The sequence below is a fragment of the Homo sapiens genome, chromosome 20 (genome assembly GCF_000001405.40).
Source record: "Homo sapiens chromosome 20, GRCh38.p14 Primary Assembly".
Classification (NCBI taxonomy): domain Eukaryota; kingdom Metazoa; phylum Chordata; class Mammalia; order Primates; family Hominidae; genus Homo; species Homo sapiens.
This window is the reverse complement of record NC_000020.11, coordinates 53,981,447-54,004,345: the sequence shown is the minus strand read 5'-3', so window position 1 is coordinate 54,004,345 and position 22,899 is coordinate 53,981,447. Positions and strand designations below refer to the sequence as shown.

The 22,899-nt window shown below is 39.3% G+C and overlaps 1 protein-coding gene across 19 annotated transcripts in view; it reads left to right on the top strand.

The window, feature by feature from the left end:
- BCAS1 (brain enriched myelin associated protein 1) overlaps positions 1–22,899 on the top strand; it is a 127,054-nt gene that overhangs the window by 66,249 nt on the left and 37,906 nt on the right. For 11 of the 19 annotated variants that reach the window (NM_001366297.2, XM_017028111.3, NM_001366295.2 and 8 more), the window contains exons 5-7: positions 8,296–8,454; positions 9,290–9,334; positions 18,847–19,059. In NM_001366297.2, coding sequence (NP_001353226.1) covers positions 8,296–8,454; positions 9,290–9,334; positions 18,847–19,059 — 417 coding nt within the window. Of the gene's footprint in view, positions 1–8,295; positions 8,455–9,289; positions 9,335–11,699; positions 11,835–18,846; positions 19,060–22,899 lie in introns of all 19 variants that reach the window. The other 8 variants (XM_005260595.4, XM_005260591.4, XM_005260589.4 and 5 more) reach the window with 1 other exon arrangement.

The window sequence follows — 22,899 nt, the reverse complement described above, 5'->3', positions numbered from 1 at the left end:
ATATCTCACAGTTTTGGAGGCTATAAGTCTGAAATCAAGATGCCAGCATGGTTGGGTTCTTGTGAGGACCCTCTTCTGGGTTGCAGATGGCCAGCTTCTCATTGCACCCTGGAATGATGGAAAGAGGACTAGAACGCTCGCTGGGGTCTCTTTTATAAGAGCACTAATCCTATTCATGGGGGCTCCACCCCATGACCTAGTCATCTCCCCAAGGCCCCACCTCCTAATACCATCACATCAGAAGTTAGGATTTGAACACATGAATTTTGGGGAGACACAAACTTTCAGTCCACAATACACATTAAAAGAATAACTGTGTGTGTGCGCGGACATACCACCTAAAATAAAATCGCCTTCCTCATACGTATATCAACACTCATCTGCTATAAATAGAATTTGCAGCCATCCTTCTAATCAACCAGCTTAACCGCTTGGATCCCAGTTATACCTCAGAGTTAGTTTTTAAAAGTTCAACTCATATTAGAACCTGTTTTTAAAAAGTACATCTCTTCCAAAGCAAAACACTTTTCTCCCAGAATTAACCAGAAAACCTAACAAGACTATTAAGACCATGGCTTTTATTTGCTTTTAGTTTTATGAAGCTTCAGCTGCTCATGAGGCATTTCACAAGAAATATGCTTCCATTTAGAAAGAGTCCTGGGGCTGATTGAAACCCTTGTAGAATATGTGTATTATTGTTACTTTTAAAATACTCACCAAAATGTGCTTTTTGTATTTTTGCAGCCATTTCACAAAAGCCCCATTTTTAATGCAAACTATTCCAACCTGGCCTTTGGTGTTAGGCTGGTCTAAGTGCATAATCTAAGTACCAACTGAGTGCTGAGAACTGTGGTATAGAAATTCAGAGAAGGGGACAGAGTCCATGGGTGGCCTGACCCAGAAAAACGTCGGTGGGAGAGGGAGACTTGATTCCAATCGTGAAGAATAGATTTCAAAAGGGAAGACAGAAGCTGGAGAGCACAGTGTACAAAGGCATAGAAAAAAGAATTTACTCCATATCCTTTCATCCTTTAACAAATGTTTCTCCTGAATCTACTCTGTGTCAGGAACTTTGCAAATTGTATGGCATTTTCATTGCTTTTTTTTTTTTTTTTTTTTGTCTGTTTGGCTAACATTTATTGGACACTTCTATACTAGGCATTATGCTAAGGAATTTACATGCATTATTTCTTATGGAAACTCACAACGAATTATACCAGGCAAGGTTTATTATTAATCTTGTGTTCCATGAGACGACCTTGTCTCAGAGAGGCTAAGACCCCAGCTGGGGTTCCTCAACCTGTGAGTGGAGCTGGGAGGTGAATATGGAGTCTTTGTCAGGCACTGGAACTTTTATCAACCACTTGATCTTGTTGTGAATGAGACACACGCAGTGCCTGTCCTCAAATGCCCAGTTGAGCAGGTGATACTGGCAATTAATCAATTATGATTCAGTATGATGGGTACTGATGAGAGGGGAATTAGGAAAACAAATAGCAGTAAGAGATAATGAGCTTCAATTCTTGTTTGCAAAATTACTCAATTGAATATCAGTCTATGGGAAAGAAAGAGAGATTGATCATTGACATTCATTCTTCCCTTCATTTATTCATTTATAAATAATGTTCATAATCATTATCACTAATTAATATAAAAAGATCTGCTACACCCCTAGAACAAGATTTATTATTAATTTTGGTGACAAAGTTCATATTTCAAATACACTTATTAATTTCAAATTTAGGGAGCTCACTTCTTTTCAGACCTGATTTGATCCTCATTGCTGTTCACATGATAATGTAGCTCAAGATTCATGCATCACCAAAAACGAACTCACCTGTAGCCAGCTACAGGAAGTCAACACTCTCTACTATTAACAGAGTAGAAGCTTTCAGCTAAGGGAGAGTTACAGGAACTGGCTTTGCCCTCTTGCCTAAAACAGATGAAAACTTGGACAAAAAAACCAAACAACAATTTTTAAGACTGTTTTAAGATATCAGGCAACAAGGATAGGTGTTCTCTGAGAGACGGGACATAAGAGATAATCCCTGTGTCTGCTCCTACCTACTGCCTTGAGAGGGTTTCCAGCCCATAGCCTAGGGGGGAGGAACTGAGGCAGAGCCCAGCAGGCTCCCTGAGCCCAAGGTGGCCAGAGTTCATAGACAAAGCATCAGAGGAGAGAGAGAGATACACAGAGAGCAAACTCCAAGGGTCTGTCAAAGGTCCTCACATAGTATGAGGCAGAGAGCTGACCAATATGTTCATATGAGGAAACTAGCAAAGACTGAAGGGGGAAAAAAAAAAAACCAACCACCAGAAAGGCATTTACACAGGGCCAGAGAGAGTGCCTTCTCTCACCAGCCAGACTAGAAAACCTCATTATTAATAAGGCACTGGGTAGAGTAGTCACAGGGTCTTTCCTCATTAGCGAGAAAATATTAGCTTCCTAGACTAGACACGATTTTGGTCCTACCTAATGTAACTGCCAATGGGTTATTTTTGCCCGCTGCCCAGACAGAGCCAATTTATCAAGACAGGGGAATGGCAATAGAGAAAGAGTTTACTACACATAGAGCCAATTAAATGTGAGATTAGAACTTTTTTATTACTCAAATCAGCTTCCCCCCAAAATTCAGAGGCTAGAGTTTTTTAAGGTCAGTTTGGTGGGCAGATTGCTAAGGCGTGGAGAATGCTGATTAGTTGATTGGGGGCAGAATCATAGGACATCAGAGATGTCCTCTTGTACTGAGTCAGTTCTTGGGTGGGGGCCGCAAGTCCAGATGAGCCAGACCAGAATGCAGGGTCTGAAAAATATCTCAAACACCAATATTAGGTTTTACAGCAGTAATGTTATCCATAAGAACAACTGGGGAGGTGAAGAATCTTGTGGCCTCTGGCTGTATGACTCCTGAGCCATAATTTCTAATGTTGTGTCTAATTTGCTAGTTTTACAAAGGTGGACTGGTCCCCAAGAATAAAGGGGGCTTGTTTGGGGAAGGGACTGTTATTATCTTTGTTTCAAAGTTAAACTATAACTAAATTCCTCCCGAAGTTAGTGTGGCCTACCCCCAGGAATGAACAAGGGCAGCTTGGAAGTTAAAGGCAAGATGGTGTTGGTTAGGTCAGATCTCTTTCACAGTCATAATTTTTTCACTCATAATTTTTGCAAAGTCAGTTTCACGAACAAATCTTAAAAGCCAGAACTAAAAGGATCAAACTGATTTTAAGTATCTTAACTACCTCCAAAAACAAAGTTCAAAAATATTTATAGGAACAAAAAATATCCAGCCACCCAAACAGGTAAGATTCACAATGTCTGACATGCAAACAAAAATTACCAGGGAAGCAAAGAAGCAGGAAAATGTAACTCATGATGTGAAGAGAAATCAACCAAAACCTACCCAGAACTGACACAGGTGTTAGAATTGGCAAAAAAATAAAAAGGATTAGCATAAATGTGTCTCATATGTTTGGAAAGTTAAGTAGAGACATAGAAGATATATTTTTAAAATCCAAATCAAATTTCTAGAGATAAAAACTACAGTGTGTGAGGTAAAAAATACACTGGATGACATTAACAACAGATTAGACAATGCAGAAAAAAAAATTGTGAATTTAAATACACAGCAATAGAAACTATCCAAAAGGAACCACAGGGCAGTGGGTGAAAAGGAAGAGGGCTTTTTCAAAAAGAAGGAAGAAAGGAACATTAATGAGCTACAGGATAACTTCAAGTAGGCTAGTAGGCAGGTAATTGGAGTCCATGAAAGGAGAGAAAAGGAGAGAAGAAAAAATATTTGAAATCATAATGGCTAAAAATTGATGACTGATACTCTCACTTGGATTAAATCATTTGTTCATTCATTCACTAGTAATTTTTGAGATTGTACCATGTGCACAAGTCTGGGTGCTGGGGAAACATAAGGGAGAAAAAGAACCTTCATTGGTTTCTATTCCAGTGAAGGGAGAGGAACAAAACACAAAATGACAAGTGAGAGTTTTAATATAATTCTCAGTCTTGCCACTGAGAGCCAGATAACTCTTTGTCCTGGGCATTGCAGGAATTTTAGCAGCATGCCTGGCATCTATCCTCCAGATACCAGTGGTAAATCACTAACCCGCTACTCGTGACAATCAAAAAAATGTCTCCAGACATTACCAGATGTCCTTAGGGGGAAGAGGAGCCAGTAATATATTAGAAGTGAAATCTACTAGGAGAAAAATAAAGCAATTAGCAGCATCAGATATGCCGGGATATATTATAGCAACTTAAAGTAGAGTGGTAAAGAAAGACCTCGATGAAAACGTGGCCATTGGCTCAGGCGCAGTGGCTCATGCCTGTAATCCTAGCACTTTGGGAGGCCGAGGTGAGGGGATTACCTGAGGTCAGGAGTTCAAGACCAGCCTGGCCAACACGGTGAAACCCCATCTCTACTGAAAATACAAAAATTAGACAGGCATGGTGGCACACACTGTAATCCCAGCTACTTGGGAGGCTGAGGCAGGAAAATGGCTTGAGCCAGGGAGACAGAGGTTGCAGTGAGTCAAGATCATGCCACTGCACTCCAGCCTGGGTGACAGAGTGAGACTCTGTCTCAAAAAAAAAGAAAAAAGTGACAATTGAAAAAGACTTGAAAGAAGTAAGGTCACATGCTCCTGGCAGGCAGAAGCTCAGCCCAGATGCAAAGGTCCTGAGGCAACAGCCTACTTGACATGTTCAAAGAAGAGCAAGCAGGTCACTGGGGTTACAAAAGAGTGACCCAGGGGGAAAATAAAACAAAAAAAAACGGGCAGGAAAGCAATGAGAATGGAATGGAAGAGGGGCACTTCTCCAGGAATGAGCAGGAGGGTCCTGTTGTCACAAGGAGTGAGGAATGCTACTTAGGCAAAAACAAATTAATGCTTACGCTTGCCAACTGTGGCCTTGGACATGATGTTTAAACCTCTTTGGGCCTCAGTTTTCTCATCTGTAATTTGCCTTGCACAATCTTGGCAAAGATTAGATAAGATAGATTTGTGAAGGCACCTCGTAACTGTAAAGCTATACAAGCATAAACAAGCATTGTTTAAGACGTAAGGATGACATGGTTTAAACAAGTTATAAGTGCAGTACTTTTTGGGAGAGTTAAGTTATGAAGGGTTTTTACTGGTGGAATTTATGGATGTAGTCTATATTTATATACACTCCCTATGAGGATCTTGGTTTTCCACCACCTGGATTTAATTTATATGATGTTACATTTTACTGCACACACTATATAAGTTTAGCAAAGTTGACACTCATAGCCAAATAATCTATAGAATTTTAAGATGTTCAGTTCTGACAGGCCTGACTTATAATCCCCATATTGGCCTCTCTCAAGCTGTGTGACCTTAGACAAGTAACCTAAACTCTCTGAGCCTCATTTCATTGTTTGAAACTGTTAATTGTAATATTTGTCTCAGAAGATTGTTGTAAAGATTAAGTGACATATGTTTAATGCATTTATTTGTATAGTGGTTTGCATGCTGTAAATGTAAAATATTTGACGTATTGGCATTGTATATTATTCTATAATAAATAATAATATATTAAGATTAAGCGACCTTGTTCAAATTATACTAGCTTAGGAAAGAGAAAGCACTGGTGTACATGTAATGCTTAATAAGTAGTTGACGTAATTTGCACATCTGTCCTTACCTAAATCTCATGTTGAATTGTAATCCCCTATGCTGGAGGTTTGGCCTGGTGAAAGATCACAGGGGTGGATCCATCATGAATGGCTTGGGCCATCTCCTTGGTGGTAACTGAGCTCTTGCTCTATGTTCACACATGATATGGTCATTTGCAAGTTTGTCCCACCACCCCCTCCACTCTTTCTCTCTTGCTCCTGCTCTGACCATGTGCTGTGCCTGCTCCCACTTCTCCTTCCGCCATGATTGTAAGCTTCCTGAGGCCTCCCAGAAGCCAAGCAGATGCCAGTCCCATGCTTCCTGTAAAGGCTGCAGAACTGTGAGCCAATGAAACCTCTTTTCTTTATAAATTACCCAGAATCAGGTATGTCTTTATAACAACGCAAAAAATGGCCCAATACAATCGTCCATTAAAATGAGTTGAATTGTATCTCAGTGGTTGGGATAGTCAACCCATATCAATTTATACTGCTTGTCCAGACACTGCCAACCCCAGAGGAGAAAGTATAAAATCCAGGAGTCTAAATGCAGTGCCACCATATCCCACTCTCCACTACTGAGAGAAGGGGTCAAAATAGAAATACCAAGTCTTCTGTGGGCTTCTGCCACCTCACACACTGCGAATTGTTAGAAATCGCTTTTGAGGAAACAGAAGTGTCTCCTTTCATTCTCCTCTAAGTAAGGGAACTGGCAGCATGGGGGCAGGGAGATGGTGTGGAGAAGGCGGAACCCACAGCCCTGGGATGAAAGGAAGGACTACACGGGGATGAAAGGGAGGGCGAAGAGTGAAGACGATGCTCAACCAGCAGGTGAGAGTCGAGTCCGCCTCCCTCACTCCACCCACCTCCAGACCAAGCTCCCCACTGCCAGGCCACAACCACATGCACCAACCTGCCCAGCCCGGATACGTTTTAGGTCTCACTTGTCACAACCTCCGGTGCACCAAACAGCTTCTCAGATGCACCGATGTACCTGCAGGACCTCTCTGTTGAAACCTTCTCATTTTTTGCAAGAATATTCATCAAGTTTATATAATTTGCATACCTCTTGACCCAAAAATTTCATTTTTGATAATTTACCCAAAGAAAATATAGATACATGAGTATTTAAAAATAAAAGTGTGAGATGATCACTTTACTACTGCTTATAATACTCTAGATGTACAACTATACACACTGTGAATGTCCATCAATAAGGATATTAGACAATAAACAATGTTATAACCAAGCAATGGAATAAATGTCACCTGAGTCGTAAAGAATGAGGCAGGTTTAGCTGTGTTGCAATGGGAAGTTTCTGTACTACTTTGTCACATGAGAATTTATGCTGGTACAGATAGCACTATTCTATGTTTGTAAAATTTTCATAAATGATACATATTTATTGAATGCCTTCTGTGGGCCTCGCTGTCCTTGGTACTTGAGAAAAGCACTGAGTGAAGTAGATATTATCCCTGTCTTTGTCGAGTTTGTAGTCTAATGGGAGTATGAGGAAAAGCACAAAGACTGAGAAGTAAACAGAACTGCTGACACAGCAAAGATTTTTAAAAGGGCAAGGGACTCTGGTGGAGACGACAGTGGTGGGAGGACAGCCTTAGATGAATGTTTAGGGACAATCTCTCCAAAGAGATGACACTTATGACCTTAAGGATGGATGGAAATTACCTACGGGCAGACAGAGGAGCAGAATGTTTCAAACAGAGAGCCAGAAGTTTGGAAATAACCTGTGGTATGTTTGAAAAACTCAAAGAAAGTGGGCCAGAAAATGGAATGAAGGAGCACGTGGTACAGAGAGGATGGAGATTTAGGCAGGGGCAGACCATGTTAGACGTTGGAGATCCTGCATCAGAGTTTGGGCTTGACTCCAAGAGCTGTCAGAAGCTACTGGAGGGTGGTAAGGAGTGGGAAGATGGGATCTGTTGAGTAAAGAATGTATTGTGAGGGTCAAGAGCCCAACCAGAGACAAGGCCAGGGCTGTTGCAGTCAGAAGGTGGAGAGGCAGTAGCTTCCTGTCCTGGGGTCGTGAGAGGTGAGATGGTGAAAGGAAGGCAGATTCAGAACGCATCCTACCCTCCTGAGGAGGTCGGGGAGAAAATCAGTTCCCCTATCACACCCCTTGCACAGATGAACCTCATATCTCAAAAGCAAAATAGTTATTTTTAAACACCAGTACTTTTTCTTTTTCTTTTTCTTTTTTTTTTTTTTTTTTTTTAGTTGATATAATCCAACTCTGTGGAAATTGTGGGAAACGCCATCTCTGGGGATAATGTACACATCATAGATAAGGAGACTATAAAGATGGAAAATATCGATACCTTACACAACTTCTTTGCAGAATTGGAAGAAAAGGGTTTTTGTTTGAAATGCAACGTGCACTGCTGTGTTTGTTACCCTTTGGCTCCAAACAATGTCCCTCCAACCAACAGCAAATGCTGAATATGTTAGAAAGAGGGGGAGGGAAGGAAGAGTGACTCTTATAATCTCATGATTGTTCTGCACGCCTGTGGGCAGAAGAAGTATGGCTGGAATTAGGGGGTAAGAGAGAAAGGGGTGTGAAGCAAAAGTATGACTTTGAGAGTTCACATTCAGCAAGTGGCAACTGTGACAACTGTTTTGCCCCTAGGACATAGTTGACGGCAAGGAAAAAGAAGGACAAGAACTTGGAACTGCGGATTGCTCTGTCCCTGGGGACCCAGAAGGACTGGAGACTGCAAAGGACGATTCCCAGGCAGCAGCTATAGCAGAGAATAATAATTCCATCATGAGTTTCTTTAAAACTCTGGTAAGCAGTTTTCTCCTCTTTTCCCCTCCACTCTATTGCTCAAAAGTTTTGTTAATTCTAAGAATAATGCACATTTGAATGTTATTGTACTAAATGAATTATCATGGTGCTGTTGGAGCATGGGAGAGAACAGGGACAAGATATGCTTCATAAGAAAGTTGTGTTATATCAGACTTTTAGCAAGAGAGCCCCTGAAGCTCGGAACCATGGTATAAGCAGTGGATGCCCAAATCATGTAACATGGGCTGTGTTGTAATGGAATTCTATTGCAATTGAATGTCTTATGTTCATTGATCATAAAAATAATTGAAAAATATCTCCCTGTGTTGTGGACATCTCAAAGCAGTTTTGCCACTCAAGTGGCAAATAAAATACTGTAGAAATCATTCAAAAAAAAAAAAACCTGAATGAATGAATGCATAGTGAAGCAGACTGTCCCAAATGTGTTTGGGCTATTTTCAAATATCAAGACTAACCTCAAAAGAAAAAACAATAAATGTCAACAGAATGTGCCACAAACACCAGAGGGTTGCACATGTGTTTGGAGTAATGGTAAAATTTATTGGAAGTCTGTGGTCTTCCAGGAGACAATTTTGAATGTGGTCAAACTCTTGGTAAATGTATAAGATCAGATGTATCTCATTATAAGATATTAATTTTGTTAACTTTTGTATTACCCGGCGGTCCTGAGATTTCTATTGAACTAAAAATACTTCTCATTTTATTCTTGACCTGTATGGTGAACTGGACCACCCTAAAGAGTTATTTATCTATGAAATAAAAATCACTCTAAAGAGCAATGATTTCTAATATTTGGCTTTCTCAAACTTTTAAGGTTTCACCTAACAAAGCTGAAACAAAAAAGGACCCAGAAGACACGGTAGGTAGTTGGAAGTGTGTATGTATATATTTGGGTTTGCGCATAGAATTGGATTTGGATTTGTGTCTGCCTGCTTGTTTTTTGAATACATATATGTGTGTGTGTGTGTGTGTGTGTGTGTGTATCATATCTATATATAATTAGCAATTTAATAGTGCTGTTAGGTTGTCATTAAAATATTTTATTTACATTAACAGTAGTTAAATTAAAATTTTACTGGAAAGCTTGAAAGACGTGCCAACTCTGGCTAAATAATATCACAATACCAATTTCTTATATAGCATAAGAACAGAATACTAATAATTATATCATCATCTTAGTCTTTTTAGTTGTGCGTAGAGGGACCCAGGGAATATAGTAAAAAACAGTCCATGTAAAGTAGAAGAAAGCTTTTCAGTAGGACGTGGACTCTAAAAAAATAAAGTAGAAGAAAGCTGCTATATTTTTGTTTTCTAAAAAATATGTTATTTTTCAATGTAATTTGAAAACTAAATAAATCTTTACTGCAAAGGCAGTGGTTTGGTGAAATAGAATAGTTTCCCTGGGGCACCTGCCAAACGGATGGCCATGCAGAGGCGTTAGGACACGCTAGAGAGCCTAGGTTCTTCACTGTCATCCAAGAATTCAGCCCACTCTCCTCAAAATAAACTTGGTTTGAAATACCATCTTCCTAGAGATGTTCTCCCTTTACACTGGACAAGGCTCGTTACCTCTAGTGGAATACACGGTTTAAGTTTCACGGGAACCATGAAGGAAGTTTAACTTGGTGACAGATAAGTGTCTTGGGTCCTTCTTCTGATATCGGAAAGTGCTTTGAAAAACAGTGGGATCAGATACATGGCTTGGTTTGCCCCCTACATCTGCTACCCACATGTGAAGGAGCTGGCTGTGAAAAGAGGATCCTAGATTTTGTCTCAAAAGACCTGCATTTCAGCTCCAGTTCTGCTACTTGATAGTGGTACAATCTTAATCTGTCTGAACCCAAGTCTTCATGTCTATAAAATTGGGACAAAAAAATTCTTTGTCCTGGACCCCAAGGTTGAATGAAGGTGTGGCATTGTTTTGCAAACTGTAGAGCTCTGATTAAATGTAGCGATCCCTATTTCAATGATCACAGCCAAGATTGGTTGAATGACATGACTACATTTGTATTGTATTTCTTGGTTTCCTCGAGAATTTTCTTCTTCCATTGGAAAAAAATATGTATCTGAAGCATCTACATGCATTTTCCTATAAAGTTATTCATTTGCTCCGAGGTCATAGGGTCAAGTTCAATGAATGGTTGGGGCAAAACGTATTTCTTTTGGTTCTATGTCTTGCGTTGTTTGAAGCCACATAGCGTAAAAGGCTCTAAACAGTGGAGTATGGGAATGTGTGTGTGGCTTCCCAAGTGACCTGATGCACTCATTCTCTTTAGCTGGTCATGGACCAAGACTCCTCCCTGACCCAGAATGTGGTCAAAACTGAACGTACCCAGCTGATAAAATCTCACCGTCCTGCCCAGGAAGCTGTGGGGTCACATTAGTGGAGCTGGGTCTCAAAAGCGGGTTTTGTGAATGTAGGTTGTCCATGACACCCACAAACAGATGTGTTTTCTACAAACCTGGTTCTCATACCTTGCAATTTTGATATCTTTTCTACTGAAGTTCTTGGATTCATGCTTTTGAAGTCTGTATTGTTTTCAGCCCACTACCTTCCCTACACGAAAGTCCCTGACATTTGTAACTTGAGCCAACAATCTTGAGTGGTTGTAGCCAGGCTATTTCGGTTTCGATCTCCCTCTACTTTGCCTCAGTGGATTGGTTCACACTACACATTTTCTCTGCCTGGCGGGGGTCTACCCATCTAGAAGTGAATTGAAATTTTTGCAGGTGATATTGCTTCCATAAAGTTTCTAATAGTGAATCAAAGGAGATCGATTTGAGACTAAAAGACATTCAGCAGCAGTCTTTGCTTTGACTCCAGGATGAAAAAGAAATATTTTGTCTGCAGGTATTTTTTACTTTACCATGTAGCAATAGCATTTAGATATCTACAACTATCAAGTAGAGACTGCATTATCTTCTCCTGTTATTTGTCTTCAGCAAATGGAGATACAGAGTTTTGTTTTGTTCTGTCTTGCTTTGAGGTGTGTTCATCTGGGTCATTTAAATAGGTCACTGTTGAAAATCACTGTATATCTAAAATTGTGAATATGGAAGTTTAAAAAAGATAAACATTTACAGGGTGTTTTGTGGTTAGAAGAGGGGATGGTGTACCAACAGTTAATTGTCACAGCGTATTAATGCACTTTAAAACAACAGAAAACAAAAAGAATTTTGTTCAAAAACAAAGTTCTGAGGTTGTGACTGCTGTTGCCCCAAAGGCATCGAAAGCAGAAAGTGTCTGTGATGGACAAGCTGGTCAGAAGACATCCGAGATCCAGGCTAGAGGCACCAAGAAAAAGCACCTGGATAGCCCCAGGCTAGGACTCGCCTTTAGAAAATTCTTTAGGCATAAGGTCTGTATCTTATTAAAGTAGGAGGAAAAACAAGAACTCTGGTCTTCACAAGACATGTGCCATCCTGAGCCCACCCAGCTCCTCTCCAGTAAAAACAGAGCCTTGGGTGGTGGGGATCATTAAAAGAGAATTAAAGATGATATGAATTAAACTTCAGTGATTTTTAAGTCCCCATAGTCATAAACATTTCAAACAGGTGTCTTCCTAGTGCGGACCAGGGTTCTGGAACTATTCTTCTAACCCAGTATTTCCCAAATGTCAATAACTTGTGTACCACCTTCACCATTTTTGTTAGATGTACTATTATTTGATATTTTTACATTGAAATTGACCTATTTTCTATTTAAATTGTATCTTTAAAAGAAACTTTATATCATATATAGAAAATCAGAATAATTTTTCCTAAGAGGAAGGTAAGCATTAATTTGGCTAATTAAAAAGACATTACATTCTAGCTACCTCATTTGTATTAAGCTCTGAATCTGATGCTCTTTCTAGCTTTATTAAAAGGTGATTAATTGGCCAATGGTAGAAAAATGTTAAAGATGTACCATCACCAGACTGAGACTTTCTCCAGAATGTTAGTAGAAGGATTAAATGAGAGTTGGAAAAGGAGAAGTGGTTTCACTATTTGAATACTATGTAATATCATATTTCTGCACAATCTATAATCTTCTCTGATCCACCAATGGTATGCTTCCTACATTTTGGGAAATACTCTTCTAACCTCAAGTAATAATGTTATCTTTCTGTGGTCTGTTTCATCTATTTCCAATATTAACTAAGCTTACACTGAACCCAAATAAAAGTCCAGGCGGAAAAAAGCAATGAATGAAGGCAGAGCATGTTTCAGCTCCATGTCCTTGGGAAGTTAGGACAACACTGAAGTCAGTTTGGGAAATATTATGCTTCCAATGTCTAAGAAGACGCCAGTGTTTGTCTGAAACCATCAGTTTAAAGGATCCCTGAATTGGGTTAGCATGCTTGAAAATTTGTTTAAAATATCAGCCATTTTCCACCAAGTCAAAAGCCTGTATTAAAAAAACTTCCCTACCTGGATGTCACAGTCCCGGGATTGTATATGCAAATAAGCACTCCATAGAAAGTTCTCACAGCTGAATCTGTATTTGCGTAAGCAGACTATGTTATGAAGCCACCTTTCAATTTCCATACAGGATAATTTTGTTCTGTGAAGAGAAAAGAATGGGGAATGATAAATATTGCAACGGGGGAGGGAAGATTAAAATGTGCTCCAACATCACATAACTTAGTAACTGCTGGGAAATAACTTAGTAACTGCTGGTGAAACGCGTCATAGATCTCATAGGAAAGAATCTAGTTTAACTCCCACTTGGAGCTTTTGTAAGTAAGGGGCCTTGAAAGTTTAAGAAGTGTATGATGTTTCCCCAGATCTGCCTTTCATTATGACATTCACTTCATGCACTACAAAATTTTACGTCTGCAGTATCTCTTGCCACCAATAAAGGGACCACCCAAGTTCAATGTTATCATTCCTAGGGCTTCCCAAAAACTGTTGGCCTCCCATCTTGTCACTGAGGTAGATGGGGAAAAGACAGGATTCTGGAAGAGTGGGAAGAGGCCGCGGGAACAGCCTTCTGGAATTCTGTAACACAGACACAAGGACTTCAGGGTTTTGCCTTGAGTGGCATTCAGTGTATTTTTTTATGTAAGTGTAAATCAAAGTAAGGGACACCTCCCAAATGTTCTGAATTCTTATTTACGCAGCAGTTTGTTAGAGCTCATTGGCTTTTACCTCTGCACCTGAGATAGTTCATTTCTTTTTCTCTTTTGATTATTTCTGTTGTCTCTAAAGATAGGAAAGTAGGGCCTTTAAATAACCAGCCAGATTCTCTCAGTGACATTATCATGATTTTAGGAGGTGTGATACTCTCCATTTCCCCATGGGTTTGTCACCTGGAAAAGAAAACGAGAAATTCAAGCAAATTGAAGGATAAAACTATTTTGCTATTAAAAAAAAAGTTACCAATTCTGGTTAATTCTGGGGCTTTATTTCTCTACATCTCTATGATCCTTCTTATAAAAAGAATTTTCTCAGTTCAAAAAGTAGGGAAGTCTGAAATCAGTAAGTGAAATACATTTAGTGTCAGCTTTTGCTGAATTGGAACCATTTTTCTCGGCCTAATGGCATGTGATGTCTCAGAATCAAACTTTTTCATGTGGCCACCACTGTTTGGTGACAACTTTAGACACAAAACAGAGCATTCCTTTAGAATGCCTTTGCCATGCCCCAAAATGCTCCCCTCTCTCCTCAGGTTTCCCCAGTGCCCACCCTTTCTGTAAGGCAGCTGAAGTATTAGCAAGCAGCATGCATGATTTATAAGCTCTACCATTCATTCATTGTTTTTGGTTCTTGGTGTAGTGTTTACATCTTACTAACATCTCCTCTCTCCCACACCCAATGTGAAAACAAGACGAAAATTTATTAAGAAGGTAAGGTCATTTGACATACAATCTCCAAATTGAATCCACTAGAATTTCATGGGCAGGGCCACCAGGTAAAATATACAGGACTCAGTTAAATTCAAATTTTTGATAAACAAGAAATAACTTTTTAATTTAAATATAAGTATGTCCCATGCAATATTTGGGACATGCTTATGCTAGAAAATTATTCTTTGCTGATCTTAAATTAATATTTAATGGAATATCTCATATTCTTATTCTCATGTGCTAAATCTGGCAACCCTATTCATGAGATTGCCTCTGAAAACACAATTAAAATTTTTGTAGTCTCCTCTGTAACGCAAACAAAGAATATCCAGTTGGTTGATGCTGGCAGAACTCCATCTGGGGGACTTCTTTGGGAAGGCAGGAGAGTGGTGGGCAGGAATGAAAAGACTAATGGTGTTCTGACTGGTATTCTACAACCCAGTGAGCAGGGGTGGGTGGCTGGAAATATGGCATGACAGGATCTTGTGTGGGTGTCTGTCTCTGGTCCCTGTCATAGACTGTAATTATTAATTGAATGACTGATTGTCTATTTTGTGCCAGAAGCTAGGCCTGATGGGAATTGGGGACGTAATCATGACCAAGACTTTCTTGGTCTTAGGATATGATGATGACCAAGACTCTAGCAAAAGAGATACATATTCAACAAACAACTACACAAATAAATTAGAATTATATAGTTACTATAACTGTAGTAGGGTCATGCCCTTGTAATGTTTTTGAAGGGTTTCTGGATATCCTCCCAATGCAAAGAGAAAAAAAAATTGGTCACTTCCCTATGAAACTGATCAGTATAGATGTGTTTCCCAATCTTTATCTCAGTATCAGCCCTCACCATGATACTTTTTTAGACTATTTTTTGCCCTAATCACCCTTCCCTCCACGAAATTTTAATGTAACAAATATTCTTTATACCTGTTAATGCACTGTAATTCTTTAGGGGAGACACAGACCATGTTAATATCTAATTTGGCATAACCCTTCTCCCAAGAACAAATGCAATATTATTTTTTGTTGTATATTGCCCTTGTTGAGAACGGTGGTATAGATTTCCCTCACTGATGGGTGGAATAGCCCAGGGAGCAGGAAACCTTGATTCATTGGAAACAGTGTAGTATGGAGTCACTATTAATGCTTGGGTTTGGGGATCAGACTCCCTGGATTCAGCTGTCAGCTCTGCCCCCTCATTAGTGTAACTGTGGGCAAGTTACTTAGCCACCAAGCAACTAAATTTCCCTGTCTGTGAAATTGGCATAAAAATTAGTGTCTTCCTGTAAGTTGTAGCATTTGATAGTACCATTGGGAAATTACAGCTAACAGTAATTTATTGGATATTTCAAAACAGCTAGAAGAGAAAAATTGTAAGCTTCCAACACAAAGAAAGGATAAGAGTTTGAGGTGATGGAAATTCCAGTTACCCTGGTTTAATCATTGCACTTTGTATACAGGCATCAAAATATCACATGGACCCCCCGAAAATATGTAAAACTATGATTCATCAATTTTAAAATACAAAAAATAATCGTTCGTCATAGGACTTTTGTCAGGACATTCAGGTGCTTAAAACAGTGTCTGTCACTGTTACCTTTTATTCTTGTCATCAAATAAAAGTTTAAAGTTGGAAATTATGTCTTCAAGATGCAACAGTGGTCCAGGGAGACTAAGCAGAGAGAGAAAGGGTGGTGGCTGAGCGGTGAAAACGGCCAAGTATGTAATGCATTAGGTAAACTGGAGCTGTCCCAGGTAAATTCTGGCACTCCAGGACCTGGGGACCTTGTTTTTTGTAACCTCTATGTGACTCTGAGTAAGTGGGCTAAATGCACATCAAAGGGAACCCTTGAGCCAGAAAAATAACACAGCATTTAGAAAAGGTACAAAGCCAAGCCACAGAAGTTACACCAAAATAGCGTGGGGCCATGGAGCCGCCCTTCTAATGACTTCGGCAGATTGATGATTGGCTTAAAGCAACCAGAGCCCTTTCTTAGAGATGGGGATGAGGTCAGCCCCAACCCCTGGATTCTTGGTCTAAAATGGACCACTGGGCAAATGGAGATTCTCCCAGGAAAGCAGAAGGAGAGGTTGTTGTTGAAGTAGCCACGCTTGGCCACTCTTTGCTCCGATACTTGCCGAAGGACCTTAGGGCAGTTGTTCCCTGTGCGTGGAAAACTCTCTTCTTCCCTTCTCTGGTTAATTTTCAGTCACCCTTCAGATCAAAGCACAACCATCCTTTTCTCAGTGAAGTCTTCCCTGATTTTCATGAGTGGATCAAACTCCTTGATTTAGCTTTTTATGGGATTGAGAGGAATAGCCTCAAATCGCCTCCCCACTCAGTAGCACTTATTACAGTTGAAATTTTACATTTATTTGTGGAATTATTTACTGTCATCCTCTCCTTGAGGACATGTAACCCCAGCACTTAGTACATATCATGGCTCATAGAGGACACTCAAAGTGGATTTTAAATGAATTATTGAATAATACTTTCTCTTATTTTCTGAAAAAGAAAACAAGCTACTTAGCATGTGTGTGTTAGGAGGAGGGGTACTTACCCTTTAACCAGTCCCCTTTAATTTAATTACCGTTTAGAGCTAAAATAGCACCAGGTACTCAAGAGCGTTTGGGACGTTTGTAATGCAGAATCTTATGAGCTCAGCCATTTTGACTTCACTGTCTATAAAATGCAAAGGTTATTGTAAATTCCAACATTTTGCCATTTTGTATACTTTTAAATGGAACTGGAGCTATTCCAGTATCAACTATCACAAAATTCATTTCCAGACGTCAGTTCTTTATCTTAACTTGAACTTAGAATCTGCTCAATGGATGACTCCTTCTTAGTATTAAAAATTTCAGCAAAGAAGATGTTGTGTCTTGCATCAAATAGTAAAATTCATGTTATTTGCAAACATCCTTTGGAGAAGCAATATGCTGCCTGGGAAGAGCTCTAGAAAGGAGCCAGAAGTTCAGACTTGAGGCCAGGTTGTGCCCTTGTTCAGCGTTGGGCAGATCATTGGCCTCAGTTTCCCCATCCATGAAAATTCATGCATTGGATCAGATGGGCTTTAAGACTCTTTCCAGGATCAAAAAATACTGTCAAACTTTCTGAATTTGTCCATATTCTATATTTTTTTTGAGATGGTGTCTTGTTCTGTTGCCTAGGCTGGAGTACAGTGGCACGATCATGGCTCACTGCAGCCTCCTGGACTCAAGCAATCCTCCTGCCTCAGCCTCCAAGTAGCTGGGACCACAGGTGCAAGCCACCATGCCCAGCTAATTTTTTATTATTTGTAGAGATAGGGTTTCACCATGTTGCCCAGGCTGGTCTTGAACTCCCGACCTCAAGAAATCTTCCCACGTCGGCCTCCCAAAATGCTGGGATTACAAGTGTTGGGCCACCACACCCGGCCCATACCCCATTTTTATTGCAATATATTTTTTCTTTTAGTCAGAAAATTTATTCAAGGATATTACATCCCTGGGAATTTAAAGGGATTGAGTCATAAGTATCCAGAGCAAAAAAAATCATAAAATGAAGATGTTTAGGATTAAGAGGTTAGGTCAGATGAACCTGATGTTAAAATTATGAGTACCAATATTCACTCATGTCAAGATAAATTCTGACTATAATTCTCCCAACTCTTCCTTTATCTCATGACTCAGTGGGTGGCAGAGCATAGAAATTAACACCCCCTTGCTGAAGAAATCAGATGTCCTGGAATTGGACTTCAGTGCAGCTGCTCAGAGAGAGAGACAGAAAGAGAGAAAGGAGATACGGACAGAGGGAGAGAGAAAAAGACAGAGGGAAGGAGGCGGAGGAAGGGAAGAAGGGAAGGAAGAGAGAGGAAGAGAGGAAATAAAGACCGAATGGATAACATTTCAAGAAGTTTTAATTGTGGAGTGTAGGGCTGCACCTAAAAGTGAAGAAATAGGGTTTGTGGACACTCTTCCAATTCAAAATCCCTTCACCAAGTTCCAGCCTAGTTGCCTTTTACTAACTTTATAGTCTAACTCAGTCATCCCCAAAGTGGAGTATGGAGAAAAATTTCAGAAGTTCTATATTTAATTTAACTCTCCTTTAATTTCTAATTTTGATCAGTAAGATGATGCATGTTTATAATATATACATAAATAAGTATGCATGTATTGAAGGTGGAAATTCAAAATGTTTTTACTGATGGGAACTTGATTGAAACCATTTGGAGACCAGTGGCCTAAATAAGAACTCCATATTCTAACAGCAAAGGGTCTCTTACCACCACCTTGATTCCTAATGAGTTACTTACATAAACATAATTAATAATGCTTCTATGTTTATTTTTTGAAAGAAAAATATCTTAACTTTTTCTGAGATTTTAACACAAGTCCACATTCACAGTAAAAATTTTTAAAATACAGAAAAATATAAAGAAGAAAATTAACATTATGTATAACCTCAGCCCATGTTTATTAAAAAGAGATCTTCCATTTTTAAAATTTTGAGACCATTTTGAATGTTTTCCCTCCATTTTTTTTAACTCTTTAGGGTGCTGAAAAGTCACCCACCACTTCAGCTGACCTTAAGTCAGACAAAGCCAACTTTACATCCCAGGAGACCCAAGGGGCTGGCAAGAATTCCAAAGGATGCAACCCATCGGGGCACACACAGTCCGTGACAACCCCTGAACCTGCGAAGGAAGGCACCAAGGAGAAATCAGGACCCACCTCTCTGCCTCTGGGCAAACTGTTTTGGAAAAAGGTAAGTCTGATTTTCAAGCGTTAGAGAGTCGTCCGGGCGGGGATGACTCCAGAACTTATTTCTATTGGGCTAACTGTTGTACTCAACAATGTATGGAAGGTGTTTCTTCTTCTTCAAAATGACTCGGCTTCCCATTGAGTAGAAGCCTTCTAATGTGTTCCTAGGAAAAATGAAACGCCTGTCATGTTATAAACATGTGTTTCGTGGGGAAGAAAAGGAAATGAACAAGTAGAATTTTTCATTCTTTGAGTGACTTCATTTCATGACAGAGGGTTGTGGTATTTCATGATTTCATTTTCCTTCTGAAATGGTTTAAAACCCTGACTTCTTCCTGGTCTCTTTGAGCACTCTTACTCTGGCAAGATGAACTACCTAGGGGCTGTCTGTCTTCACTCCTCCCCAGCCAGACAGAATCATTCATTATCAGCCACTAGGTCTCCACTATCCTTTTAGAAACCTAGGGTGTCCATCAGTTCACCACCAGGGTAGGCAAACACTGTGCTCTATGACAGGAAAAGTCAAACCACTGTCTGATTTTGTTCCCATCTGAGGTCTGAGTGGTGCAAGGACAGGGAGAGTGGGGCTGAGTTATTCTAGATCTATTCCTTAATTATCATTGCTGAGCAAGCCCCAGCTGCTACACATGTGCAGAGCTTTTGTCTGTTTTAAATTTGGCCAAAAGATGAGCAAGAAGTTGGAGATGAGGGTGTGGGTGGAATTCATAGAGCTGGAAAAATCTAACTTCAGAATTTCATCAAAACATCTATCGCACTTGGCACACCATGCAAAGCAGATGATGAATGCAGATGCCACTGTGGTGTCAGCTTTACTCCGTCGTCCAGAATCCAGCTGGATGCGGGGCCCCTTGCCTGTTTGCTTCCTGTCATACAGAAACCTTCCTTCCAGGTTCTTCCCAGAACACAGTCTTCACTATTTCATAAAAACTTTGGATGATGTCAGCTGACACATTCTGTTGTAATCCTTTTTCTTCATCACCCACCATTACTTATCTTAAAATATCTTTTACCAGCAATATAATAGAAGAAACAATTTCCAAGTGAGGTATATGTGTATATTGGAGACAAGAGAGAAGACTTAAGTGGCCCATATCTGAATAATTTTAGTTAAATAATTACCATGTATTCATATGCATATTCAAGGTGTCTTAGGAAAAATAGAGTTAGCACATTAAATTTGAGATTAACGTATGTTTTGCTCAAGGTTAAATAAGCATATTTTGTTTAAAAAGGAATCTAATAAAAAGACAGTATTACATAAATAATGGTTCTGATAGTAGATAAATAATGGTAAATTTGGGTCCTCCAAGAAGCAGACACCAAGACAGAATTGACGTGCAAGAGATTTATTGGAGGAAGACATCTGTGAAGGAGAAGTAGGAGTGGCAGAGCTAGGTACAGAGAGCCTTCAGACTACAGAGAGTTCTGACCATCTAGCAAGAAAGAGAGAGAAGGAAGGAGAAGTGGGTGGAGAAAGCCTCAAACTGAAGGTGGTGCTAAGAAAGTCCTGACCAAGCCAATGGAGAATCATAGAGTACAGATTGCCTGTTCCAGAGGCCCACACTGGACCGGAATGAATGGCCCAGTACTCCTGTCGTGCCCAGTCATTGGTAGGAGCCCCCAGGGAGAGGAGCAGAAGCTGAAGGCATGACAGGTGGGGCTGTCTTTCTTGCAGGAATCTGAGCAGCACACTTCCATGGCTGCTACAGATGATACAATATGGTAAAAACCACATAGGTGGTGTGCCAGTGGCTAAAGTTTGAGAAACACTGATGTAAAAGCTAAAAGTTTGAAATCAGACAGCTCTGACTTTGAGTCTCAGTTTGTCTCTATGAGCTTTCGTTTCCTCACTTGTAAGATGCAAATGATAATAGTACCTATGTCATACAAATGAATACAAATGAAGTAAGGATTAAGTGAAATAATGATGGTAAAACCTCCAACACTGGACCTAGTACAAAAGTGCCCACTGAACAGTGTTACCTCTCATCTATTTCCTCCGTGCTCAGGAGGGCTGAAGAACTAACCAGGCCGACGTCTTTATCTTTCTATACTGTCCAGTTTGAGAAAGCTGCTAAACTATTGCCTCAAGTGCTTATTTAATGTTTGGAATCTACAAGAGATACAGTGGTTCTTCTTTGAAGTTCAAGCTATTCCTTTGAAAAACAATGTCAGGACAACTTGACATTCATCTCCCTAATGATAGAATTTCATTTATTTCAGTCTCACTGTCTTTTGAGCCACTATTTAGCTTTATTTAGTATATCATTAAAAATATGAAGTTAAAAGAAATCAAAAACCAAATCCCCTGTGTCTCTCCTTCTTGCACCCAATCAGAAGAAAAGGCTCTTCGTCAAAGTTTTACTTATTCAACAATATTGTAATTACTTTATTTGTGCTAAGTACTTTATTTGTGCTAAGTTGTTTTGTGCTATATAGTTTGTGCTAAATACTAGGCATTGAAAAAGTAGCAGTAAACAAATGTCTGCCCTTTCCTAGCTTATATTCTTGTAAGAAAGCTTATATTCTAGCAGAAAGCAAAATGAGGACCTTTGTTTTCTTTTCGTTAAATTACAAAGACTATGATTATAAAATCACCCTTGTAAATTTTTGAAGAGTTTTGAAAAATGCAAAGGGAAATTCTAGGAAATTCTTACATTTTCTTATATTTTCACTGATAACTAACCTAACCTCTCTTTCTTCTCTCATTTTTAGTTGAAAAGCTTTCAAACATATTGATTTTAAAGTTTATAAGCCTGTAGTTACAGACAGCAGAAATGAATTTTTCCCAGAACAGGCTATGGATATGAAAGTATAAGTTGTTTTGATTTATAGTCTTTATTGCTAGAGTAGTTATTATTATAAAATAAAAAAATACCTTTAAGGAAACCAATTTCAAATTATGTTGTACTTTCCAAAAACGTGTTTAAAATGCAGTTAACTGGAGTAAATATGCCATTTATTGTTCTGAGTAAATTGGATTCTCACTTGCTCTGTGACCTTACATAAGTTATTTACACTATTTGAGTTTCTTTTCCTCATTTGTTGAATAAGAGGATTGGGATACACAGTCTTGATAATTCTTGTGTATGGCAAGGCTTACACAACAGAATCAGAAAGGTTGAGCTGTGTATCCCTGGACAAATTGGTTGACCACTCAAAGACCCTCCTTTCTAATCTGTAAAATAAGGACTGTGTTTTTCTCACAGTGTTGTTATAAGAAACCAATAATTGTACATATAAAGCACCTAATATATAGTATGTGCTCAGTGAATGATGTCATCATTTCTTCAAGTATGAACAATCAGTGGTCATGACTAAACACCCACGTGTGGCTTCTGGTGTTAACACCACCTAAGTACAAAACAAGTATAAAATTCATTTGCTAGCATCAAAAGATTTGAAATCCATTTGGAGGAACATGATACACACACACACACACACACACGCACGCACATGTATTTGTAATTAATAATTGATATATTTGGAATATCTTCAAAATATCCCTTTTCTGCTTTCCTTTGGGGGAGACAAAGAGTGGAGTGGGAAAATAATGTGCACTCTGAAGCCACAGAGACATTATCAAATCTCAGTTCTGACAGTTACTGACTGTTTAAATTTTAGTGGAGCACTTAAACTCTTGAGCCTCAGTTTCTTCAGTTATAAAATTGGCCAATGACATCTATCTTTCGTGTTTATTGGGAGGATCGAGTAAAAAAAAAAAAAAAAAGAACGCCAAATGACTGATATTCAGTGAATTATAACCCGATTCTGAAACAACGAAATTTGCAATTTAGTATTACTCTGTGGAGTACAGGTAACA